The sequence below is a fragment of the Homo sapiens genome, chromosome 10 (assembly GCF_000001405.40).
Source record: "Homo sapiens chromosome 10, GRCh38.p14 Primary Assembly".
Classification (NCBI taxonomy): Eukaryota; Metazoa; Chordata; class Mammalia; order Primates; family Hominidae; genus Homo; species Homo sapiens.
Window position 1 is genome coordinate 46,265,241 of NC_000010.11, and position 25,963 is coordinate 46,291,203.

Below are 25,963 nucleotides of genomic sequence, written 5' to 3' on the forward strand. Positions count from 1 at the left end.
TGCCCCAAAGCTTCACGATCAGGGTGGTTGCAAATTACATTCTAAGCTGTGTTAGGACTACATATTCTATGTATTGCAAACATTGTTTTTTTTTTTTGCAAGGTGGATGGATGAAAAGAGAGGGAGAAGGACAGACAAAGGAGCATGGGCAAACATTCATTGTAAAATCCCAGTGGTGGATAGAGGTGTGTTTGTGTTCATTGCACAATCCTTTCCACTCACCTATAGGTTTGAAAATTTCAACAATAAAGGTTGGAAGAAAACCAAAGAACTAAAGAAGAAAATTATACTTGGACATAGACAACCGGAAATCATGATACACCCTGGGTGACAAGTGACTGATGAGAGGGACAGACCAAGCCCTTGGTTGCAGGGAGTCAGAGGGGCTGGTCATCAGGAAAGGCTTCCAGGATGAGGTGCCCTATGAACAGGGCTGTGAAGGACAGGTGGGCTCGGCCCTTCGAGGTGAGGCAAGGCTTGCAGAGTGCCTGTGCTCCACCTGGTCCCACCTCTGCACAAGGTGCCCAGAACAGGGAGCGGCCCCTGGAGGGCCTGGGGGTTCTGCTAAGAGCCTCAGACACCTGCCAGGCTGGAGAGGGAGATGCCTGTCAAAACCCTCCAGCCATGTGTGGGGGATGGGCTCAGGATGGGCCTGGAGCAGTGAGGCCACCAGAGGCCTCTCCCAGGCTGGATAGGAGGCCCAGGCCTGAATGAGGGAGTCTGGGCTGTGTGCCTCCCTCCCTGGCCTCCTTCCTGGGCTCCCTGGAGCCCTCCTGGTTTCTTGGTGACAGCCTGCTGAGAGGGCTCATTCTGTTGCATTTGAGTTCCAGGCTCCTGCCTTGGCCTTTCCCTCCTGTGACTGTCACCCTCCATGTGGGGCAGCTTTGCACAACTCAGCCAACAGCTGACAGGTCAGGGCTGTGACTGCGGGCCACATGGGCAGAGGCAGAGGGCCAAGCTGGTGGGCAGAGGCAGAGGGCCGAGCTGGTGGGCAGAGGGCACCTGTCACCTCGACTCAGCTGCCTCCAGGGAGGAGTTACAACTCACATCCCCACCTGGGGTTGACAGGTTGACAGGGCTGCTCAGACGCCACAGCCTGTGCATCTCCAGGGGACATCATCAGAGCACAGCTGTCACACTGGCTGCATGGCTGAGCAGCTTTAAATCAGGAGCAGCAGAAAGAGACCCTGAGGGGGAGGGGAGCTCTCTACTCTATCCCCACCCTCAGCTCTGCATCGGGGAGAGGCGGTGTCGGGGACAGAGCCCAGGACCAATCGTAGAAGTGTCAGCACAGCTCCTGTTCCTGGGTCCTACCAGCTCCCAGCCCTGTGCCAGTCCCTGCACAGCCCAGTGCCTAGGGACTCACGACAGGCCTGACAGCGTCCTTTCTGTTCATGGGAGGCACCTCTGGAGCTCGCTGACATTGGACTATTTGCTCTGGTCGTGTGCCCATGGAGAGCAGAGCTCAGACATGGACCGTGTGTCGGTCCCCACAGCCTACTGACAGGGCACCCTGCAGTGAGGAACTGGGAAGCCAGAGCCCAGCTGCTGCTCTGGGGCCAGCGGCACCCAGCCTCGTGCTGTCCCCATGGAAGAGAGTCACCCAAGGCTCTCTTCCTCTCCAGCAGCGGTAGTTGCGTAAATGCCGGCCATGCGGAGTCCCAGCGTGTGCAGGCGGAGGTCAGGACAGACGGGTCATCACAGAGGACCACACAATGTCACCACCCATGCCGGGACCCCAGATGGCAAGAAGTCACCCTTGCCACATTCCAGACAGTAGGGACAGATGCTGGGACTGATCCTGTGGGATTGAGGTGAGCTGAGGGTGTTTGTGCGGATGCCTTTGTTGGGCTATGGAGGTTTCCTTCTGCTCACAGGGTGCTGTGGGATGTTGACGCCCCCACTTCTTGTTCTTCATCCCCTGAGATAACCGCTTGGTCCCTGTTTCCCGTTTTGTTGATGTGGTAAATTATACAGATATTTCACCTTCTGCACCTGCCTGGCCTTCCTGGGAGGAGCCCTGGCTGCTCCTGCCCTGTGGTCTGGGTTAGCTGCTGTTCCATGCCATTTGCTGGTGTTTCCCTGAGAACTTCTCACACATGTCTTTTCTTGCTTTAGAGTTAAACTTATTGTTGTGAGCTAACAACACACTAATTGTACACAGGTACTCACACCATCACCCCTGCATATTCCCCCCACAGCAATAGACACTCACATTCACACCCATGTGGGCCACACATCCACACCCACTCACCCATGCACACTGCACCACACACTTAACCCACCCCATACCACACACATCACACCACACACAACACGCCCGAAGCACACACACCCACACACCACACACACACATAAATCGCAAACACACATACAGCAAAAATACCAAAGACACACCACACATCCCACACACACACCACACACATCACACACGCACCACACACTCTCCACTCCCCCAACACACACCCAGCACACCCCACACACACAACATAAACAGCAAACACGTATACATACACCATACACACACAGCCATGGCACACACACCCACCACCCACTGAATGCACACACAAAATATACATACATGCCATCACACCATTTCCTTCCCTACATGCCACACGCACAAGATATCCCCATGTAGACACCCACATATGACACACACAACACGCCCAAACACTCTAGTCCCACTGTACACACACACACCACAGACACACATAAATAGTAAACACACATACTCCACAAACAGCAAACACACACCACACATCCCATACACACACACCACACACACAAGTAGTACACTCCCAACTCCTCCACACAACAAACTCACACACTAGACACCACGCACCAGGTACCCTTCCCACACACTTCCACAGCACCCCAGCTTATGCCACACACTCTGCGCATACCCCACACACACCACACACACATGCATATATGCCCCCTACACACACTCACACCCCCACACACATACAACACATACCCTCCTCAGCTCCCACACCACATACACCCACAACACAACACACACAGATGCATCACTCATGCACACCCCACACACACCACACTCACAGCACATATACACACCTCACATACAGATCACACACACGTTTACACAACACACAGACCACATATTACCCTCCCCGCAGACTTCACACACTTCAAGCCTCCCACAGCACAACTTCCCACACATACTATACATACTGCACCCACACAAATTACATACACACATACCACACACACCAAACACATACACACCACATACACACACCACACTCACACACTCCCCACACACATCCTCCCCCACACATACCAAACAAATGCACACACTCCATACACGCATGCACTAGTGCACACCACCCTTTGGCAACCGCAGGGCCTCCGCAGTTCTCACTTCCTACACACTCAGAGGAAGGCTCCACAGACGTCACTTCAAGACAGGTCTTTGACATGAGGTGGAACACAGGAGGGGTGGGGCAGGGCAGGGAGAGTGAGCTTCTGGCCACAGGAGCCAGACCCCCAGCCCCTCACCTCCACTCACTCACAGCATCAACAGTGCTTCTCAGGGCCTTGAAGCCATCCTCCACTGCAAACACATGGTCCGGACCGCCTGCCATTGCTGTTATCTACAGAGAGCAGAGCTGGTTTGGACTCCCAGCCCAGGGGTGAGCATGCAGCAGATCCCCAGCCCAAGGGAGAGCGTCCTGCCCCCATGCTTTGGAGGCAGCAGAATACCAGGCTCTGAGGGCCACAGCCTTCTCCAGCCAGCAGCCCACTCTCAGGGAGTGGGGAGCTCTTCCACCCTCCCCTCTGGTTTAGTAGGATTTATATGACATGCTGTCATTTCTGCAGTAGTCATAGGGTGGCCCAACTCACTTGAGGCAGATTAGATGACCCTTCTTGGGGTGGCCCTAGGAAAGCTGTCTGGGACACCTTTCCATACTCTAACCCTAACCTGACCACAAGGCTCTATATTGGTGCCTGGTTAACCTGTTTGGAATTACTGGGTCTTTCCTATAATCAGCCATACCCACGGTATAAATGGTGGCCCCCAGGCTCCGAGCCCTTTCAGCTTAAGGGAAAGAAGGCATTGAGTATTAATTACCAAAATACAGGGAGCAAAATGCTGATAAATACGAACTGAACTCACTTCTTTGAGAGTGTCCAAAGATGGATGTTTCATCATTGTTCCATCAGTCATAGCAATAATCATGCTGGAAACCTTGTCATCTGCAGGAGAAGCAAGGAGTGGCCTGCTCAGCAAAGGCCCCAGAAGTGACCTCCAAAAGTTCCTGTATTGGGAGAAAAGCTGAGTGTTGGGAGAGAAGCTGAGGCAGGGCTTGCATGTCTGCTAGACTTGCTGGCTCCTTGCTTCTAGCACTTCCGTTATCTCAAGCAGCTGTATGTTTCTCATTCACTTGATACACTGTTTCCTTTCAACCCCCACATCCTCACCACCTGTTTTTTGTTTGAGCACCAATAAACAGCATGGGCTCCCAGAGCTCAGGGCCTTTGCAGCCTCCACACTTGTGATGGCCCACTGGTCCCACTTTCTCTCTCAAACTGTCTTTTTCTCATTCCTTTGACTCCACCAGACTTCATCACTCCCACGATATGGTGTTGGGTCTGATTAGCCCAACACTCCAGGACCCCTGCGGGCTGCTGGGCCCACAGCACTGATCACTCCAGGGCATGTCCAGGTGCCCCCATCTCATCCTCCAGGGGAGAGGCTGCCAAGAGCCAAGCACCTGCTACACAGAGACCCTTAGAGTGAGGGAGGTCTCAGCCCAGCACCCATTTTACAAAAGAGGAGCTGAGAGGGGCAGGCTCCTTCTCACCAGGCTGCCTGAACCCTCACCCACTAGCAGCCTGCACCACCTCTGCCTGAGGGCAGCTGCAGCCAGGACTCCACAAGCACAGGCCTGTCCCATGGGTAGGGGGAGGAGCAGCTTGGCTCTCCTGTGGGCAGAGCCTGCGGGCAGCCCTGCCAGCATCTCTGGGCCCAGGAGTACAGGATTCCAGGTAAGTGGTACCTGGGCAGGGGACCCCACATCCACCTCAATGCCTTTCCCCACCAACCATGCCTTTTCCTGACAAGAGTTGCAGGCACACTGTGGGGAGGGGGTCGGCAGCTGTGGACAGCCTTCTGCATCATCTGAGACACAGTCAAGGGATGCAAGTCACTCAGAGGGGAAATGAGGAAGGGAGGAGGAAGACTAAGGTGTGTGCAAGGGGGAAAACCCCTTGGCTCTTCTCTTTTCCTTTTCACACAGCCCAGCTGGAGGGCAAGCACCTCAGGGTTATCAGCACCAGAACTGCACACGCAGGATCCCACACAGTTCTCAGAACTCCATGGGGCGAGGGCTTACTATGCTCATTGCACCAGGGAGGGACCTGGACCTCAGAACAGGTGAGCAACTTGCTCCAAGAGGCAGGGCAGGTGTGGCCTTGCAGAGTCTGCACACAGAGCTCTCTGAGGCTCACGCCCAGCTCTGTTCCACCTATGGGACCACCATGGGGACGGCAGGTGCTTAAACCTGGAGTTGAAATTTTCCATCTGCCGAATTGCCTGCAAGAAAATGAAGAAATATTGAGCCTGGACAGTGAAATGTTCCCACTGATGCTCTAAGACCTTGTCAACTAGAATCGATTCTTGGAGCTCAAGGGGTGTATACATTTCTAAACCCTGCCTGCATGAATATGTGTCCTTCAGGCACCATTTTCTGAAGTTTGTCGAGACCCTCTTTTATTTTCTTCCTGAAAAAACTCCAAAAAAGTGGTTGACGTGGAAAGACGTGGACTGCTAAAAATTACCTCTCAAGCTCTCTGGGAGCCACTGCTCACTGTGCAAGGCCTCGGGGATGGAGGAGGGGGCCAAGCAAGGGCTCTGTCCTGCTCATTCCTTACTGTGACGTTGACCATAGATGACAGGCCTTCTGATCTCATCCTAGTTCCAGAGAATGTAGGCCTGGGGAATCTCACCAGGGCCCCACTTAGACCATCTCTGGTGACAGTGGGAGCTTCCCATGGATGAGCAACTGTGAGTCAGGAACTGCAATGGGGCCGATATTCCTAACCCTAACCCTAACCCTGAACCGGGGATGGGCAACTGAGAGTCAGTCACTGACAATGGGGTTGACATTCCTAACTCTAACTCTAACTCTAACTCTAACTCTAACTCTAACTCTAACTCTAACTCTAACTCTAACTCTAACTCTAACTCTAACTCTAACTCTAACTCTAACTCTAACTCTAACTCTAACTCTAACTCTAACTCTAACTCTAACTCTAACTCTAACTCTAACTCTAACTCTAACTCTAACTCTAACTCTAACTCTAACTCTAACTCTAACTCTAACTCTAACTCTAACTCTAACTCTAACTCTAACTCTAACTCTAACTCTAACTCTAACTCTAACTCTAACTCTAACTCTAACTCTAACTCTAACTCTAACTCTAACTCTAACTCTAACTCTAACTCTAACTCTAACTCTAACTCTAACTCTAACTCTAACTCTAACTCTAACTCTAACTCTAACTCTAACTCTAACTCTAACTCTAACTCTAACTCTAACTCTAACTCTAACTCTAACTCTAACTCTAACTCTAACTCTAACTCTAACTCTAACTCTAACTCTAACTCTAACTCTAACTCTAACTCTAACTCTAACTCTAACTCTAACTCTAACTCTAACTCTAAACTCTAACTCAACTCTAACACTCTAACTCTAACTCTAATCCAAACTCTAACCCAAGAAGGACTCTCTTGTGTTGGGCACTCCGTCCTTTAACAGGGAGGGCTGCATTTGGGAAAAGTCATCCTGCTAAGCCCCCAGCCCTGCACCCAGACCTCACAGCCCCAGACCCCTGACCCTGACTCAGTTTCTTCCTCTCTCTTTACCCTGGTACAGGAAATACCAAATCTGCTTAATTAGACTGCCTGGACTCCTTGACTTCCTGTGCCCTTGAAACAAAAAGACCAAAAGCTGGAGAGGCAGCCCTGACGGCTGTGCATGCAGGGGCTGAACACTGATCTGCAGACTGGCTGGGGGATGTGGCCTGTCAGCTGCTGTTAAAGCAGACAGAATGGGCTGGGGCAGCCAGGACTGGCTCTGGTGGCAGGACTGGGACAGGCTGGGGACTTAGGGTCAGGCTAATCCAATGTGACAGGCTGAGCCTGCACAGCAAGGCTGAGCAGAGCATGGACCCTGAAGGATGGCTTCCCACTGCGGGCAGACAGTCCCTGCCATGGCCGGAGCTCTAAGAGCCCTGCCTGCCCAGCTCAGGAGGGGAGAAGGCCAGACCCATCCATACCCAGAAGAGGCCATGGCCTGGCCTTCCTCTGGCCATGCCCAAACCCCACTCCCCTTCTGGGTCACCCGCCACAGTCCTCCCCAATAGACTTGCTTTTTACCACCTCACACCCACTCCAGTCTCTCTGCCAAACCCACAGCGCAGGACACACAGATCCAAGCCTCCCCCTAGCTCAAGATGTGGCAGCCCACCTTGTATCCCCTCGAAGCTGCAAATAGGGTCCAGGCCCCCATCCAGTCCTCAGTATCCTCACCTCTCTCTTGCACTTCACCTCCTCTGGGCCCAGTTCTGGGCATGTGCATTGGAAGTGCCCTCATCTCCCGCCAAACAGGAACTCTGCAGTGCACCCTGCTAGGTCTGGGCACCTCTCTAGGCCACCTCAAGCCACCTGAGCTTGCTCCTCCTACCTCCCTCCCACCAGTTTCCCAGCCTGGCCTGGAGCTCAGAACCCCACACAGGGACTCCCCTGTCTGGGCCTGCCAGCATCCCTGCACTAAAGCCCCATGACTCTCACCACTGGCTCTGACCCTGTCTCCCTCCTTCACTGGCCAGGGCAGGAGGAACAGGCACAGAGCAGCAGCCAGCACAGGTGTGTGTTCACAGGACACACACTCCCACCCTGCCAGCCCCTGCACCCCAGGAATCTTCACAGCCACCTCCCAGGGAAGGAGGCAGGGTAGAGGGAGGGCAGGGGAGTGTGAACGGGGAGGCTGAGAAATTCTGGAGCACAGGGGCCTGCAGGTAACCTTGCAGCCATGGGTAGGAGGATGCAGGGGATCCGGGGCTAAGGTCAGGGTGGGTACTGTGAGTTGCCCTGACCGGCCTTCTCCATGTGCTGTCAGGCTCCCAACCAAGGTCTCTGGGAGCCCTTCAGCTCCCTGGAGCTCCCTATGGCTCAGCTCATCAGGCCTCCCTTTGGGGCTCAAAGCAGCACTCACTTGTCTGAGGTGAGTGGCAAGACAGTGTCGCCATCTGTGGAGTAGGTGACAAAAGACATCCGCATATTTGCGCTGAGAAGGAATCAAGTACTGGTGAAAAGCCGGAGGCACTGGCTCAGAAGCCAGGGTGAGTGATGCCAGTTCCCCACCTCCCACCCCAACTCTGTTATGAATTCCCTGTTGTGATTAACAGGAAGGTTGACATGGTGACTTTGTGACCTGCAGCTCTTCCCAGTGTCCTGCATGTTGACAACACCAGGGGGAGGCACAGGACCTTTGGAGGGGCCACAAGAGGAAGCCTCCATTTCCCTTACAACAGCCCTCATAGTGTCCCTTAAAACCCCCAGACCCTGCCATTTGTTTACTGGAAGAGTTAGCCCAGGTGACCTAGGTGAGGACATTGCTGTGGGTGAGGAGGTCAAGGACTGGGAGGCCAGAGTGTTGGCAGTGACAGGTCATTTGTGTGACACTGAAGTCCCCCAGGGGGTAGCAGATCTGGAAGGAGACGGAAACTGCAGTGTTGCCAGAGTCTTTGTGAATGAGGGACATTCCGGTTCTCTACTGCTGTGCACCAGACCACCTTCATTTAGGGACACAGAGCAGGCCCATTTTATTATGCTCACAGGTTCTGAGGATCAGGCACTCGGGGCAGAGTGGGAAGGGCTCCTCGTGTCTGGGGCCCCAGATGGGAAGGCTTGAGCAGCCCAACATGACTTGAAGGATTGGGCACTGGAATTATCTGGAGGCTGCTCCACTCACAAGTGTGGCTCCTGGGCAGGAGGGCTCAAAAGCTGGGCTCAGCTGGGACTGCGAATGGAGACCCTGCATGTAGCCTCCCTGTGTGACCTGGGCTTCCTCCCAGCATGGCAGCTTCAGGATGCTTGGGCTTTTACAGGTGGCCCAGAGGTCCAAGAGTGAGTATTTTCAGTGAGCAAGGCAGAAATTGTAGACTTTTATGATATCACCTTGGAAGTCACACAGTGTCACTTCCACTGTACTCTATTGGTCCAAGCAGTCACAGCTGCCAAGAGTCAATGGGAGGGAACACAGGCCCTCTCTCTAGGGCAGAAGTGTGGATGAGTTCACATCCCAGTGTCAAAACTACTGTATGACAAATGCTTTGAATGGCAGAGACGTTACAGTGTGTGGAAAAACGTGGGTACTGATGATGGGATTCAAGTTGGACTCAGAAAAGTTAGACTGTGATAGTTAGAAATACCTTAATTTTATTTTCTTCATTTTTGTATGCAGAAGTGATATATGATTAAAAATTCTTCTTCAATAAGTCTAAAATAGATCTTTCAATGTATTTGACACAAAAATTACAAGTGATAGCCAGGAAGGGTAACTCATGCCTGTAATCTCTGCACTTTGGGAAGCTGAGGCCAGCAGATGACTTGAGGTCAGGATTTTGAGAGCTGCCTGGCCAGCATGGTGAAACCCCATCTCTACTAAAAATACAAAAATTAGCCAGGTGTGGTGGTGCACATCTGTAATCCCAACTACTCGGGAGGCTGAGGCAGAAGAATCACTTGAATCTGTGAGGCGGAGGTTGTAGATTGCAAGATTGTGCCATTGCATTCCAGCCTGAGTGAGACTCTTCCTCCAAAAAAAAAAACAAAAAATTACAAGTGATAAAAAGCACTGGGTTAGTGGACTTTGGGGGGTTTCTGTCTTGCTTTGGAGTGGTGTTTAAAACAATGGATTATTTTAAATAAGTGGTATTTTAGAATGGGTAGAGTTGGTGTAATTCCTCTGAAAGCATATTAGGTTTTCCTGCTTCACATCCTTCGTGACCCTTGGTAGTGCCATATTTTATTTTATTTTATTTTTAATTATGTTTTGACATCTAATCAATAGACAAAAGTATTGTCTTAATTTGCAGTTTCCTAATTACTAAACAGTTGTTCATCTGTTCTCATGATTTTGGGTCATTCCTGTTTCCTCCTTTGTGAAGTGCCTGCTCATGCCTGTGTGTCCATTCTCTGATTTGGGTGTTTATCTTTTGCGTATTGATTCATTCATATTCTTTAAATTCTGAATACTAATCGTTTATCAATTGTTGCAAATATCTTCTTCCATGGTGTGGCTTGTTTTTTCACTCTATTTGTTGTCTCTTAGTAAAGCAAAAGTTGTTCATTTTAATCCAGTTGTTTGTCATTTTTCTTTTTCTTTTGTTTTTTTGTTGTTGGTGGTGATGGTGGTGGTAGTGGTGGTTTTTGTTTGTTTGTTTGCTTTGTTTTGTTTTGAGACAGAGTCTCTCTCTGTTGCCCAGGCTGGAGTGCAGTGGTGTGATCTCGGCTCACTGCAACCTCTGCCTCCCGGGTTCAAACAATTCTCTGCCTCAGCCTCCCAAGTAGCTGGAATTACAGGCAACCCCCACCACGCCCAGCTAATTTTTGTATTTTTAGTAGAGATGAGGTTTCACCATCTTGGCCAGGCTTGTCTTGAACTCCTGACCTCGTGATCAACCCGCCTCAGCCTCCCAAAGTGTTGTCATTTTCTTAAACTTTAAGATTTGCTCTGTTTTATATCTTAAGAATTTCTTCCGTTAGAGGTGAAATACATTTTATTTTACAAGTTTTAAAGATTTGCCTTTCACATTGAAGTCTTGATTCTACCTAGAATTAATTTATAAGTGTGATTTGTGCCAGATATTTGATTTCATTTTTTGCCATGAAGCTAACAAATTGTCCCAGCTCCATTTGTGGAAAATTCCATCTTTTGCCTATTGATCTCGTCACTACTTGTGTTTCAAGTTCCATATAGATTTGAATCTGTTTTTATTTATTTATTTATTTTGAGATGGAGTCTTTCTCTGTTGCCCAGGCTGTGTAGTGCAGTGGCACCATCTCAACTCACTGCAACCTCTGCCTCCCAGGTTCAAGCGATTATAATGCCTCAGTCTCCCGAGTGGCTGGGATTACAGGCACTAGGATGTGCAGCGTTCCTTGGGAACCTGGGGTGGATACGTGGGAGAATGATATATACACATGAGAAATATAGTTTGTGCTTTTCAGATGATTAAATTGGGAGAGGGAAGGGGGTAACCAGAAGATAACCTAGACTCATCTGACACATACACAAAGTTCTTCACATACACACTGCGCCTGGCTAATTTTTGTATTTTTAGTACAGACTAGGTTTCACCACGTTGGCCAGGCTGCCAATCTCTATCTATTGGCTTATATTGATAGCATCCATACCACATTATCTTAATGACTATATGGAGGAAGACTGTATTACTGTCCATCATTGTCCCTTTCCATTTAAGGGAAGGGCTGCGCTCCCTGCCATGTTTGTGGCAGGTTTTGATTGACCAATGGAATGTTAACAGAAGTAATGTGTGCCACTTCTGGACAGAAAATGTTTAAGAGTCTAGGTATGACTTAGGTGGCCCCGACAGCCTGGTGCCTGAGCAACTAGGATGTGTGGCGTTCCCTTGGGAACCTGGAATGGATACGTGGGAGAATGATATATACACATGAGAAATATAGTTTGTGCTTTTCAGATGATTAAATGGGGAGAGGGAAGGGGGTATCTGGAAGATAACCTAGACTCATCTGACACATATACAAAGTTCTACAGCAAGTCTTCACACAATACGGTCAATCATCCACTTTTTTTTCTTCTGGTTATTGTTGGCTATTTGCTCTTTGACATAAATTTTAGAATCAGCTCATCGAGTCTCCTCTCTCCCAAAAACTTCTTAATGTTTGATTACAATAACATTAAATGTATGGATTCATTTGGAAGAAACAGGTCTGCAGTGAGAGTTGTCCTATCAGTGAATATGACACATGGCATATGTCTGTTTATACAGGTCTTTTCCAGTGCCTTTCAGATAAATTCCCCTATGAAGATTTTGACCTCATTGGTCCAGTGCCTTCCCAAAATACACTACATTTTACTACTATTGTAAATGATAATTTAAAAGTTTTTAAACTGTGTATCATATACAGAAATGTACTTACATGTTTATATATTGACCCACCTCACTAAACTCTCTTCTATGAATTTATCTGTAGATTCATTTTGATTTCTTGTAAAATATAATTTTTTTTAAAAAAAGAATAAGAATTGTGCTGACTAGTTCTCCAATCCAATGTTGACTAGTGATGGAGGCACTCTTGATTTTACAGAGAATGTTTCTAACATCACAATTAACAATGATATTCTTTGAAGGCTTTTGGTAGAAATTCTTTATCAGATTAGAAAGTTTCTCTACTAATCTTGGTTTGCTACAAGTCACAAACAAGTGTTTTATCTAAATGCTTCTTCTGGTATTTTGTGATGAACATGTATTTCTGTCCAGTAATCTAAATTTAGTATGTTTAGATACATTAATGCATGCAAAACCAATTTTAAAATGCTATAAATAAACCTAACTTGGCCATGATATTTTAAAACATGCTAGAGTTTAGTCATAATTTAGAACTTGTTGTTTATCTATGATCATGAGAGAGATGGGTCCATACTTTCCGATTTCTGTGCTGTCCTTATCTGTTTTTGGTATTAGGTCATAGGAGACTCATAAAATGCACCTGGAGGTTTGCTCTTTCTCCTAGGAAGGACTTTGAACATGATAAATATAATCTGCTCTTTGAATATCTGGTATGATATCATCCTTGCGTTTTCTTTTGAGAAGACTTTAAAATGATATAATTTAATAATTTCTGGATGTTATGAATTCTGTCTCCCCCAAAATGGGTATGTTGAAGCCCTCACTGGTGATGTGACTGAATTATTAGGACATAGGGGCTTTAAGGAGGTAATTAAGGTTAAATGAGGCCATAAGATTAAGCCCTTAATCAACTAGGACTGATGTCCTTACAAGAAGAGAGACGCCAGAGTTTTCTCTTCAAGGATGCACAGAGCAAAGGCCATGTGAAAACTCCATGAGAAGGTCTCTGCAAGCCAAGAAGAGGAGTCTCATCAGAGACCAATCCTGGTGGCACCTTGATCATAGACTTTCAGCCTCCAGGACTGGTTGCAAATAAATTTTTATTGTTTAAGCCCCCCAGCCTGTGGTATTTTCTTATGACACCCAGAGCAGACTAACATTTATTTATTTATTTTTTATTATTATTTTTGAGATGGAGACTCACTTTGTCGCCCAGGTTGGAGTGCAGTGGCGTGATGTTGGCTCACTGCAACCTCTGCTTCCCAGGCTCAAGAGATTCTCCTGCCTCAGCCTCGAGAGTAGCTGAGATTACAGGGACGCGCCACCAGGCTCAGTTAATTTTTGTATTTTTAGTAGAGACAGGGTTTCACTGTGTTGCCCAGGCTGGTCTTGAACTCCTGACCTCAAGTGATCAGCCCGCCTTGGATCCCAAAGTGCTGGGATTACAGCCATGAGCCACCATGCCTGGCCCTAATACTTACTTAGTGTTTCTGTTTCTGTCAATTCATATGACATATTTTTCTAGGAATTTGAACATTAATTAGCATGCCTTGTTATAAAGTTGTTCAGAATGTTTTTAATTCTTATATTTCTGCTCTATCTGTAGTTACATCTTTTTAATTCCTATTATTGCTTAGTTGTGCCTTCTCTTTTTCTAGGCATTCTAAACAGGGAGGATATTGTCCCTAAAGGAGTGAAAATTAGCCTTGTGTGGGTCTTACTCTTTTAAAATATAAAACGCAGATATGTATACAGTACATAAAGGGCAATCTAGTATATATGTGGAATCAAAATTTCATGGGGGTTAACGAGGAGATACTATTAAGAAAAATAAAGCCTAAAACATTTCCCAGGATGGGGAGATTAGAATGAAAAACAGAAAAGGATAGGAAGCACTGTCTTGTTTTCTGATCAATTTCACTAGCGTATTGTCTATGTTAGCAAACCTTTCAAATAACCTTTAGATTTGTTATTACTCTCTATTGCATTTTTTGTTTTCTATTTATAGTTATTTATTTAATATCCTCTACCTTTCACTTTCTGTGGGTTCATTTTGCTACTCTTTTTCTCATATTTTCATTTAGATTATTAGCTCTTTATTTTCAACCCTCTTTGCTGCAAAATAAACCTAATAGGCCGCAAATTTCCCTCTAAGTTTCTCTTTCACTGAATCTCATAAGTTTTCATATTTAATATTTTATTATCAGTTGATTTTAATTTCAGTGTTGATTTCTACTTTGATACATTCAATTTTCAACTTCCAATTTTATGTGGTTTTAAAAAATTCTTTTTGTCATTGATTTCCAACCTAATCGCATTATAATCAGAGAACATGGTCTGTATGATACTGTTTCTTTGAATTTTATTGAGATTTGTTTCAATACATGATTTGGGGGAGGATTCTTTAGAAGACCATTAAAACCAAGTTTATTAATTGTGTTGTTCAAATCTTCTAAGTTTTTAGTAACACTGTGTCTACTCAACACATGCGTGTTGAAATTTCTCAAATACATGGTGGGTTTCACAATTTCTCCTTATAGTTTATGTTTTTTGTTTTATTTTATTAGGTGCATGCAAGTTTAGAATTGTTATGGCTGTCTAGAAAATGCAGCTGATTGGGAACTGATCCTCTTAAACCCTGGTCACGCTTTCTCTGTGCTGAAGACTCCCGCTTCCTTTTGGTTTCCCCAGCATCCCGGCCACATCTCTGTATCTTTTCCCATCCTTTTATGTTAAACTTTTTTATGTCCTTATGTATTAGATGTGTCTCTTTTTGAAAGTATATAGCTGGTTTCTGTTGTTGTTGTTGTTGTTTTGAGACATGGTCTCACTCTGTTGCCCAGGCTGGAGTGCAGTGGTGCGATATTGGCTTACTGCAACCTCTGCCTCCTGGGTTCAAGACATTCTCGTGCCTCAGCCTCCCGAGTACCTGAGACTACAGGTGCACACCTACACATTCGATTAGTTTTTGTATTTTTTTTGGTAGTGACGGGGATTCACCATGTTGGCCAGGCTGGTCTCGAACTCCTGACCTCGAATGATCCGCCTACCTTGGCCTCCCAAAGTCCTGGGATTATAGGTGTGATCCCACCCTGCCCAGCCAATTTTTGTTTAAGAGTCAGGGCCTCACTCTGTTGCCCAAGCCAGAGTGCAGTGGTGCACTCATAGCTCACTATAACCTGGAACTTCTAGGCTCAAGTGATCCTCCTGCCTCCCACAGTCCGGTAAGTAGGACTATAGTGTGCGCCACCACACCCACCTATTTTTGTTTTCTGTGGTTTCTTTTTTTGGTTTTTTTTGTTTGTTTGTTTGTTTGTTTGTTTGAGAGAAAGGTTCTTGCTATGTTGCACAGACTGGCCTCAAGCAGTCCTCCCACATCTGCCTCCCAGAGCTATGGAATTACAGGCATGAGCCACGGTGCTGGATTGGATTTTTTTTTCTTTTTCTTTTCTTTTTTAGCAGACAAATTTTGACTTTAAATGGCAAGTTAAGTACATTGTGGGGAGCACGAAACTGCACCAATCAGATCTCTGACTGTGGGGAGTAGGACTAGGGGAAGGGAGTGTTTTGGGAATCCACTCTCTACCACCACAATGGGCCACCACATTCACAGAAAGACCACATCCCTCACAGGCTTCTTTTAGCCAGAGGCCAGCAGGGATATGAAAACAGGCCCATGCCTAGGAAATCTCAGACTCCTCAGATGGCTCAAGGTCTCCCAAGCTGCTTGGATAAACTTTCCTGGAAGTGGTCTCCCTCTGAAATTATTCTATCCTTTTATTTTCAGAAAACTCCCCATATTGGTGATGGTCATTATTTTCCGTACCTAGCCACTCACCTTAATCAGTGTGTTCCCAGCTTCTTTGCTCACCGTCATTTCTTGAACTCCACTCTTCCAAATTGTTTCCTTCTTTCTGAAATACATTCTTATCCTTTCATCAAGGTTGTACAGGTTGTAAACTCACACTTTGCACATCTGACAATACCTTCATTTTGTGCTCACACTTGATTTATATTCCAGATAGATACAGAATTCTATTTTTGAGGCACCCAAGGACATATCACTGGTGGCTGTGGCAACTTTATCATTGGTTTCACCACCAGTCTTTCCTGGGTAATCTGTGTTTTGAGTTTGGTGACTTTCAAATTGTTTTCTTTGTCTCTGATGTTCTGCATTTCGGATTTGATGTCTCTCTCTATTCCTCAATGTTCTCTCTTCCATAAAAGAAAAGTTTTGCTTCAGGACTGTCAGAGGCAGTCAAACCAGAACGACTCCATTTTGAGTGAGGGCTAGGAAAATGAGGCGGGGACTTGCTGGGCTGCGTTCTCAGAAAGCTAGGCATTCCTCGCCTCTAGATGTTCACAGTTAAGGGAACAAATTAATAATGTTTACTAAACAGACCCAGACTTGGGAGTATCCAGATATCAAGATATCTGGAGAACAACGGCATTCCTAATTTTGCTTTAAAGATAATATTGATGCTTGCAAAATAGAGTAATTAAGAAAATGAATCCTTTATCACAAACCCTTTTGCAGAGCACATCTCCCCATCTACACAAGCGTTGTACCTAGGATGGGGGCTTTACTCCTCTTACTTTCGGGAACGTCCCACTCTGTCTATGGAGTAGCTGCACTTTGACCACTTGACTTTCTTAATAAACTTGCTTTTGCTTTGCACTGCAGACTCGCCCTGAATTCTTTCTTGCGTAAGATTCAAGAACCCTCTCTTGGTGTTTAGATGGGGACCCCTTTCCTGTAACAGGACCATCTCTAAGGTTTGATATATGTTCTGAACCCAACTTCCCCCTCATCAGACTTATGTTTGTCCTTGAGGATCTCATCTTTGCAACAGACCCTCCAAAGCCTTGGAGAGAAACTCAGCGCTTCCTCACGGTATCTCCGCGCACCCACTCACCCCTACCACGTCAGAACACCCACTGAGTGACGGAATTAATCAATGAGGGAGCAGGGACTCGGGGTGGTTTTCCTTTCAGTACTTGAAGAATTCTCCCTTCTCCAAAGGAAGCTACTTTGCACCCTACGCTCAAGCAATGTGACCCATGCACACTTGCCTGCAACAGCACCAAGAACTGCAATTACCTGAGACTCTATCCCATCTACCCTCACTCCACCACTGCAGGGGAAAGCCCAGGTCCTCCGAGTCCCAGCGCAGTCTCCACCCACCCCACAGTCATTCCGTCCAGACCACGGCCCTTCTGCCCTGGCCCCCTGCCACCCTCCAGGGGCAGTTAAGTCCCTGGACACCTCTATGTTCTAAGGGTCGCGGAGCCCCCCTTCCTGGCAAAGTGCTGCGCGGTCACAGCTGGGGCGAGGGGAGCGGAGGTGTCGGGGCGCTCCTGGAGGATCTGGGCTACTTGGGCCCTGGGGAGGTGCCGCTAGCGGGGCCGCCAGGTCGCGCGGGGAGGGAGAGCCGGGAGGCCACGGAGGTCCTCCGCGAAGAGGGAGCCACAGGCACGGGGCGCATCGCCGCGGCCCCCCTGGCGCAGGAGTGAGAGGTCGGGGAGCCTAGAGCCAGAGGGCCGCAGCGAGAGCTGGAGCCGCCTTCAAGGGATGCCCTCGCCCTCCCGCAGGCGCCGGCGCCCGGCCCAGCCCGAGCCATCAGAGGGCTGTCCGCCGAGCTGAGCCCGGGGAGGGCTGGGCTGCCCAGCTGATCAGAGGCTTTCTCCCGGATTGCGAGTTCTCTGGCCCGCGGCACCCTCCCGCGCGGGGGCCGCCCACCCACAAGCCCTGCCCCGAAGGCGTGTGCGGCCAGGAAGGCGGGGCCTGGTGTCCTCAGGGCTCTGGCGCCAAGTTCAGAGCCGCGCGCTGGGCGCTTGGCGGTGGCGGCCGCGTCTGCACCTCCTCCCTGCGCGCCGCCTGACAGTCTGGAGAGACAACTTAGCTTGAGCCCATTTTACAGATGGAAACCCGAGGCTCAGAGAGGTTGAGTGCTTTGCTCAGGGTTACTGAGAGGAGTGAGGTTTCTGCATCTGCCTCTTCGGAGGCATTGGCTGAAATTCATCTCTGATGTCAGGCACCCCCTCTGAGGAATCTGCTCGGAAAAGGCATCGGGAGCTGCAGCACGTGGTTTGCATCCTCTCCATGCAACAAAGGACCTAGACTTCCAGGAGTCACAGGGTAGTCTGCAGGGCAGGGTAGAGATGTTCCACAGAAGCTGGTCAAAAGCTGGAATATCATTAAAGATCACAATATACCACAACATCAGGTTCCATTATTTCTGAGGAGGCAAAGCAACTACATATTTTAGAAATTTACTGTTAATTTCTTATTTCCAGTCAGTCTCACCCAAATGTTTCAAGTGCAAAGCCCTGGCCTCCCACTGTCTTCCCACAACCCAGGTCTGTATCCTGTCCCTTGCCTCCCCTGCACCTGGCATTGCACAGAAGGTGTGGGTGGCAATGTCCCCTAAAAGCTTCTGCAAGGCTTAGCTTCCTGCTGTGCTGTCTGTGCCTCTATGAGTAAACGCAAAATGTCAAGAAAAGGATTCAATTGTCTTGTATCTAAAACCAGGTATTTTTTTCAGGTGACCCTGAAAATTCAGAGATTTATAATTTGATCATCTATGTACTTTTTCCCAGGAAAGGCACTGAACGGGTTACATGTGCAGATCTTTGTATATACTCTGTTGGAGAAAGGATCTGGGCTGAAGACGCCAGCACCTAGCACAAGCCCTGGATGAGAATAATGGGGCACTACAAGATGAACAGAGAGAGGGCTGGGGCGGGGAGGGGTGGATGCAAACGATTATGGCCAAGAAGTCACCTTAGGGGAAAAACATAAGAAGAATTCTTGCTTGCAAGAGAGAAGGAAGCCTATAGGGAGAGTGAGGGGAGAGGCCGAAAGAGAGAGAAGGAAAAAGGATAAAAGAGAAATAGCCAACAAGGCGGACACAAGAAAAAGGGAGAGATGAGAGAAACAGGAGAGGACAAGGAGACAAGAAGCAGAGAGGCAAGAGACAGGGACAGCAATGGGACTCGGAAAGGACATGGGAGAGAGCTGGAGGAAGCTGACAGAGGGAAGGGAAGAACCCCCCGCCGTCAAAGGCAGGACTCAAGAACGCTGCCTTTCGTGCAAGTGAGATGGGCTCCGCTGCCCGCGCCCGCTTGTTCTCGGTCTTGGCCGACCTGAGGGTGCGTCTCTCCCGGGCTCTCCAGAGGCGCGCAGGGGGGGAAGTGCAGACGCGGCCGCCACCGCCCAGCCCAGGGCGCGGCTCTGAACTTGGCGCCAGCGCCCAGAGGCCACCAGGCCCCGCCTTCCTGGCTGCACCCGCCTTCGGGGCGGGGCTTGCGGTTGGGCGGCTCCGGCGGGTAGGGCGTCGCGGGCCAGAGAAACGGCAACCTGGGAGAAACCCCCCTATTGATCCGTTGGGCGGCCCGGCCCTCCCCCGGCTCAGCTCCCCGGAGCCACCCCCAGCTGGCTCGGACCGGGACTGGCGCCTGCGACTATGCCTGCGGGAGGGCGAGGGCGTCCTTTGGAGGCGGTTCCCTCTCACGCCGCCGCCCTCTGGCTCCTGGGCCTGCCGGGTCTCGGCGATGGGCGAGGGCTGTGCCCGGTGCCTGCGGCTCCCTCCGCGCCGTGGACCCCCGCGGCCTCCCGGCCTTCCTTACCCCGGCGGCCTGGCGGCCCCGCGAGCTTCACCTCCCCAGCATCCGAATCGCGCAGCTCCTCCCGCGAGCGCCCGCCGCCTTCGCTCCCCAGGCCCCAGCTGAGACCGCCAGGAAGGCGGGCTCCTCGACCCCAGATCATAAGAGGTGTCTGGGAACTAAGGGTGGGAGGGGGCCAGGGTAGAAAATGTCAGTTCAAGTACGTTAAAATTAAGAACTTAGGCTTTGTTTAAAAAACAATAAATGAAGTGAAAAAAACAAGCCACAGAGTAAAAGAAGATACTTGCAGCAAGTGATAAAGGATTAGTATCCAGGATATATAAAGACTGTTATTGAGTCAATGTGAAAGAGAAAAACACCTGAAGCAAAGAATGGATGCCGGCATTAAATAGGCACTTCAAAGAGGAACCATGAACGACCAAAATCAAGTGAGTAGGTGACCAGTTCCCATTAGTAATTAGGAAATAGCAAATTAAGACCACAAAGAGGGCAGTGAGGGTGGCTCACACACCTCTAATCTCAGCGCTTGGGAGTCCAGGGCCAGAGGATCCCTTGAGGCCAGGAGGTGGAGTCTAGCCTGGGAAACATAGCAAGACCCTGTCTCTACAAAAAAATAAATAAATAAAATAAGAAAAAAGTAAACCACAAGGAGATGACTTACCACCAGGCAAAAATATTAAAGTATGCTAATACCAAGTATCAAGAAGAATGAAGCAAGATAGCTCAAATATGCTTTTGAAGGAAATATACTGGGCTTCATTCATTCTGAAATACCCCTTATTTAAGATACTCTATTATATTAAATACAGTTCCAAAACAAAAGAAATCAAAGAACAAAAAACTAACCCAATACTTTTATCACTTGTAATTTGTATATTACACATATTGAAAGATATATTTTAGACTTATTAGAGAACGATTTTTAATTGGATATCACTCTTGTGCATACAAAATAAAATAAAATTGATTAAGGTGTTTCTAACAGTTACAGTCTGACTTTTCTGAGTCCTGTTTGAGTCTCACTCATTGGTGCCTACGTCTTTCCACACACTGTAACCTCTCTGCTATTCAAAGCGTTGGTCATACAGCAGTTTTGACACTGGGATGTGAACCTGTCCACATTCTTTCCCTAGAGAGGGGGCCTGTGTTCCTGCCCATTGACTCTTGGCAGCTGTGACTGCTTGGACCAATAGAGCACAGTGGAAGTGACACTGTGTGACTTCCAAGGTGATGTCATAAAAAGCTCTACAGTTTCTGCCGTGCTCACTGAAAATACTCACTCTTGGACCTCTGGGCCACCTGTAAAAGCCCAAGCACCCTGAAGCTGCCATGCTGGGAGGAAGCCCAGGTCACACGGGGAGGCTACATGCAGGGTCTCCATTCACAGTCCCAGCTGAGCCCAGGTTTTGGGCCCTCCTGCCTAGGAGCCACACTTGTGAGTGGAGCAGCCTCCAGATAATTCCAGTGCCCAATCCTTCAAGTTATGGGGCCCCAGACATGAGGAGCCCTCCTAACTCCGCCCTGAGTGCCTGATCCTCAGAACCTGTGAGCATAATAAAATGGGCCTGTTCTGTGTCCCTAAATGTAGGTGGTCTGTTACACAGCAGTAGAGAACCGGAATGTCCCTCATTCACAAAGACTCTGGCAACACTGCAGTTTCCATCTCCTTCCCGAACTGCCATCTCCTGGGGGACTTCAGTGTCACACAAATAACCTCCCATTGCCAACACTCTGGCCTCCCAGTCCTTGACCTCCTCACCCACAGCAATGTCCTCACCTAACTCACCTGGGCTAACTCTTCCAATGAACAAACAGCAGGGTCTAGTGGTTTTAAGGGACACTGTGAGGGCTGTTATAAGGGAAATGGAGGCTTCCTCTTGTAGCCCCTCCAAAGGTCCTGTGCCTCCCCCTGATGTTGTCAACATGCAGGACATTGGGAAGAGCTGCAGGTCACAAAGTCACCATGTCAACCTTCCTGTCAACCATAACAGAGAATTCTGTCCCCAGGGTGGGGGAAGGGCCAGGCAGGTAGCTGGAAGCAAGTCTCCCAGAGCCAGCTGCTGACCCTAGTCCCTGCGATCTGGGGAGGTACCTGGTGGAGGGCCATAGTGTGCACTGGTGAAAGGGCAGGAGGAGGGGTGTGGCCCCGGGCATAAGGGGAGGCGGCAAAGAAGGGGCCTGTGCTCAGCCTCTCTGGGCCCTGGCACAGGCACCCAAGAGTGAGGTGGGGTCACAGGGACAGCCAGATAATGGGGAGCCATGAGTCCCTGGGGCCCTACTTCCTGGTCTTCCTGCTGCTGCTGCTGCTTCCTCCACCGCTTTTTAGAGCAGGAAGCCTTCGGTACCATGGACCTGACTGGAGAATATTTCACCGCCTGGCCCTGGGCTCCAGGAGAGCCCACCACCACCATGGCCCAGGATGGAGGCAGCACTGGCGCCAGGGGCAAGCAGGTCACAGATGCCAGGGCTCATTTGACCTCTACTTCATCTTGGACAAGTGAGTGTCCCTTCTAGCTCTGGCCCTGGGTCACCCTCAGGAGCCACTGTCTCTTTTTCACTAGGGACAGGACACCACTCAAGGAGATGCAAGCTTCCGTCACAGAAGCAGGGCCAAACTTTGGTCAGACCAGACCTAGGCCTCCTGTTTTTCTGAGGCAGAAAGAATGCCCTGGCTTTCTTTTCCCTGGTGCTTCATCTCCTGGATGAGGAAAAAAGCCACCAAAGGGGTTCTGGACGATTCCCTACCCCTCCATCAGCTGGGTCAGCATCCTCATCCTCACGCTGCTGCAACAGATGATTGCTCGGACCTGCCTCTCAGCAGTTCTCAGATGCTCACTGCGGATGTTTGGGGTTTCTGTGTTGTTTTGCTTGTTTGTTTTTTCACGCAAATGACTTCTATTTTACTGGGCCCCACAGAGATTGCTTTGTTGCCTGTGTTGGGCATTCTAATGTCACTGCTTAGAGAAGGCCTTTGGTTGGCTGCTTCTAAGTGCCTCTTCTGCAACTTGGAGAGCCACGCGATAGTTCCTACACTTTCAGAACAGTTTGGTCTGTTTCAGGCTGGCCCTGGGGAAGCTGGGCTACGTATTAGGCACCTTCTGGCTCACCAGGAAAGAAAAGAGGCAAATGTTCAGCTTTGGAGAGATTGCCTTGGTTCCCTTTCCTGCTCCTCCTGCTGGGTGGTAATACTCTGTGCTTATTCAGTAGCAGCAGTGGTGCAATCTTCAGGAGAATGTTGCAGCACTTTCTGGCCTCCAAAGCCCTTCCCCTGCACTCCTGGCACCTCACCACAATCCTGGGCTGTGAGTAGTACAGGTATTTTTCTATCTGGTTCCTGGACAAGGGTGGCTCCTGGAGGTTGGGGAAGCATCCAGAGACAGCTAGTGTGACAAGACTCCGGCTTCCTGTGCTGCACACTTTCCAGCATCGCAGGTTGAAATTCCTCTGATTTTTCTCATTCCTCCTGGATACTAATGGTTAGGGGACGTGTACCCCAGCCCACCAATTCCCATGGTTTCTGACTGTTCTGCTACTCTTGGGGAAGGAGCAACTCAGTTCTGGAGACAGGCAGAGTCCACTCACTAGCCACATAGTCTTGGGCAAGTTGCTTCATCATTCTGTGCCTTCGTGTCCCCCATCTGTAAAAAGGGTATCTTCATTTTCACCTTGCCAAGTGTGATGAGGATGAAGGGAGAATTTGCAGGTCAGAGGCGATGACAGAGGATGGGGATGAAGGGACCTGCCAGGCAAGGCAGAGCCACAGGCTAGAAACTCACAGGAACTGCAGAGGCCCTGATGTAATCCCAGACAGACTGGATGAGGGGGAATGCAGAGGGAGTGCCTAGAGTGGATGTAAAGGGAGCAGACAAAAGCAACCTTAATGAGTCTTCCTAACAAGGCTGGGGGTAAAGGGCATTGCCCCATTCTAAGGAGGAGGCAATGAGCCAGGTCATGGCCAGGGAATGACCCACCACAGCCTCCAGATAGACCATGGTGCTGAATTGAAACTCTGGATTTTGTGACTCCAAAGCCCATCCAAAGACCACGCAGCTGGGCGGGACCCTGAGAAACTTGCGGTAATCCTCCAGGCAGAAACAACATCTACTGCCTGCAGGCAGGCTCTTTGGTCATTAGCGTCCAGCTTATTCATGAGACTCATTATTCACTTGTTCATTGATTGGATTGAGCTGGAAGAAAATGAATCAGCCTCCCATGCGCTCCTATTCTTGGCCAGGTGACATTTGAGGGCTCTAAGTGGGAATGACCCCTTGTATTTTTTGAGTAATTTTTTAATTGTGGGAAAACATACATAACAAAAATTTACCATTTTTAAGTGTACAATTCAGCGGCATTAAGTACATTCACAGTGTTGTGCAATCACCACCATCCATCTCCAGAAATGTTTCATCATTGCGTATTGAAACTCTATTCTCAGCCGGGAGCAGTAGCTCCCTCCTGTAATCCCAGCAATTTGGGAGCCAAGGCAAGAGGATCGCTTGAGTCTAGGAGTTCAAGATCAGCCTGGGAAACATGCAAAATCCTGTCCATACAAAACATACAAAAATTAGCCAGGCATGGTGATGTGTGCCTCCACTCCCAGCTACTCAGCCTGAGCTGAGGCAGGAGGATCGCTTGAGCCTGAGAGGTCAAGACTGCTGTGTGTCAAGATTACACCACTGCACTCCATCCTGGGCGACAGAGTGAGACCCTGTCTCAAACCCCATCCCCATCAAAACCCAAAAAACTTCTATTTCCATTAAACAATAACTCCCCATTCCTCCCTTCCCCAAGCCCTAGTGACCTTTAGTGTATTTTCTCTATCTATGAGTTTGCCTATTGTAGGTACTTCATGTAAGGGGAGTCACACAATGTAATCAAGCAAACATATAATATTTGGCCTTTTCTGTCTGACCTTTTTCACTTAGCATAATGTTTTCAAGTTTATCCCATGTTGTCGCATCCATCAGAATTTCATCCCTTTTATGGCTGAATAATATTTCTCTGTATGTATATGTACCACATTTTCTTTATCTTTTTTTTTTTTTTTTTTGAGTTGGAGTATTCTGCTGCCTGGCTGGAGTTCAGCGGCGCGATCTCGGCTCATTGCAACCTCCACCTCCCAGTTTCAAGCGATTCTCCCTGCATCAGCCTCCTGAGTAGCTGGGACTACAGGGGCATGCCACCACGCCAGGCTAATTTTTGTATTTTTTAGTACATACAGGGTTTCACCATATTGGACAGGTTGGTCTTGAACTCCTGACCTCGTGATTCCCCGGCCTTGGCCTTCCAAAGCGCTGGGATTCCAAGCGTGAGCCACCTCGCCCGGCCTGTTTATCTTTTCGTCTGTTGATGGACACTTGGGTTGCTTCTGCCATTTGGCAATTGTGAATAATGCTGCTATGAACGCTGGTGTATACGTATCTCTTGGAGTCCCTACTCTCACTTCTTTTTGGTATATGCCAGGGAGTGCAATTGATGGATCCTATGGTGATCCTATGTTTAGCTTTCTGAGGAAATGCCAAGCTGTTTCCCACAGTGATTGCACCATTTTGCATTCCCACCAACAAAAGCCCAACATTTGCTATTTTCTGGTTTTTGATAATAGTCACCCCAATGGGTGTGAAGTTGTATCTCCTTGAGGCTTTCATTGGCATTTCCCTAGTGACTAGTGATGTGGAGCATCTTTTCATGTGCTTATTGGCCATTTGCATATCTTCTTTGAGGAAATGTCTATTCAAATCCTTTGCCCATTTTTTTTGTTGCATTTTTTTGTTGTTTCTTTTTCGTTGTTGTTGTAGGAGTTCTTTGTATATTCTGGATATTAATCCCTTATCAGGTATATGAGTTGTAAATATTTCCTCCCATTCTGCAGGTTGTCTTTTCACTCCTTTGGTAGTGTCCTTTGATGCACAAAAGTTTTTAATCTGGATACAGTCTCAACTTTTCTATTTTTAATTTTGTTGCCTGTGTTTTTGGTGCCATATCCAAAAAAATCCCCAAATCTAATGTCATAAAAGTTATGTTTTCTACTAAGAGCTTAAAAGTTTTAGCCTTTACATTTAGGTCTTTGACCCATTTTGAGTGAATTTCTGTAATGGTTTACAGAAGGGTCCAACTTCATTCTTTTGCACATAGACATCCAATTTTCCCTGCACCATTTCTTGAAACTACTGTTCTTTCCCACACTGAG

General features: G+C 48.5%; 1 protein-coding gene, 1 long non-coding RNA gene and 1 pseudogene across 15 annotated transcripts in view, besides 5 other annotated features; 2 read left to right on the forward strand and 1 right to left on the reverse strand.

Annotated features, from left to right (window-relative positions):
- ANTXRLP1 (ANTXR like pseudogene 1) overlaps window positions 1-4,368 on the reverse strand; it is a 50,584-nt pseudogene extending 46,216 nt beyond the window's left edge. For both annotated transcript variants that reach the window (NR_103828.1, NR_103827.1), the window contains exon 1: window positions 4,142-4,368. The product of NR_103828.1 is annotated as an ANTXR like pseudogene 1, transcript variant 2 (transcript). The remainder of the gene's footprint in view (window positions 1-4,141) is intronic.
- Window positions 1,112-1,777: an enhancer, noted in NCBI's record as "H3K4me1 hESC enhancer chr10:47637588-47638253 (GRCh37/hg19 assembly coordinates)". NCBI's record gives its function as "activates a minimal SCP1, AML or CMV promoter by ChIP-STARR-seq in naive H9 embryonic stem cells {active_cell/tissue: H9 hESC(naive)}" and the evidence as "EXISTENCE:reporter gene assay evidence [ECO:0000049][PMID:30033119]".
- Window positions 6,713-7,582: an enhancer, noted in NCBI's record as "H3K4me1 hESC enhancer chr10:47643189-47644058 (GRCh37/hg19 assembly coordinates)". NCBI's record gives its function as "activates a minimal SCP1, AML or CMV promoter by ChIP-STARR-seq in naive H9 embryonic stem cells {active_cell/tissue: H9 hESC(naive)}" and the evidence as "EXISTENCE:reporter gene assay evidence [ECO:0000049][PMID:30033119]".
- Window positions 7,583-8,452: an enhancer, noted in NCBI's record as "H3K4me1 hESC enhancer chr10:47644059-47644928 (GRCh37/hg19 assembly coordinates)". NCBI's record gives its function as "activates a minimal SCP1, AML or CMV promoter by ChIP-STARR-seq in naive H9 embryonic stem cells {active_cell/tissue: H9 hESC(naive)}" and the evidence as "EXISTENCE:reporter gene assay evidence [ECO:0000049][PMID:30033119]".
- Window positions 17,797-17,946: a silencer, noted in NCBI's record as "silent region_2351". NCBI's record gives its function as "represses an Ori minimal core promoter by ATAC-STARR-seq in GM12878 lymphoblastoid cells {active_cell/tissue: GM12878}" and the evidence as "EXISTENCE:reporter gene assay evidence [ECO:0000049][PMID:35858748]".
- Window positions 19,311-19,800: a silencer, noted in NCBI's record as "silent region_2352". NCBI's record gives its function as "represses an Ori minimal core promoter by ATAC-STARR-seq in GM12878 lymphoblastoid cells {active_cell/tissue: GM12878}" and the evidence as "EXISTENCE:reporter gene assay evidence [ECO:0000049][PMID:35858748]".
- LOC105378577 (uncharacterized) lies at window positions 19,610-20,757 on the forward strand. Its single transcript, NR_160731.1, has one exon. It is a non-coding gene; the product is annotated as an uncharacterized LOC105378577 (long non-coding RNA).
- Window positions 20,758-20,851: 94 nt separating this feature from the next.
- The window catches only part of ANTXRL (ANTXR like), a 44,038-nt gene continuing 38,926 nt past the window's right edge, over window positions 20,852-25,963 (forward strand). For 8 of the 12 annotated variants that reach the window (XR_945612.2, XR_945614.2, XR_945615.1 and 5 more), the window contains exon 1: window positions 21,757-22,270. Coding sequence is in view for 5 of the 12 variants with exons in the window: in NM_001278688.3 (NP_001265617.1) it covers window positions 22,023-22,270 (248 nt within the window). In the remaining 7 variants the exon portion in view is untranslated. Of the gene's footprint in view, window positions 21,209-21,756; window positions 22,271-25,963 lie in introns of those variants that run through there. The other 4 variants (XM_047424705.1, NM_001354208.2, XM_047424706.1 and 1 more) reach the window with 4 other exon arrangements.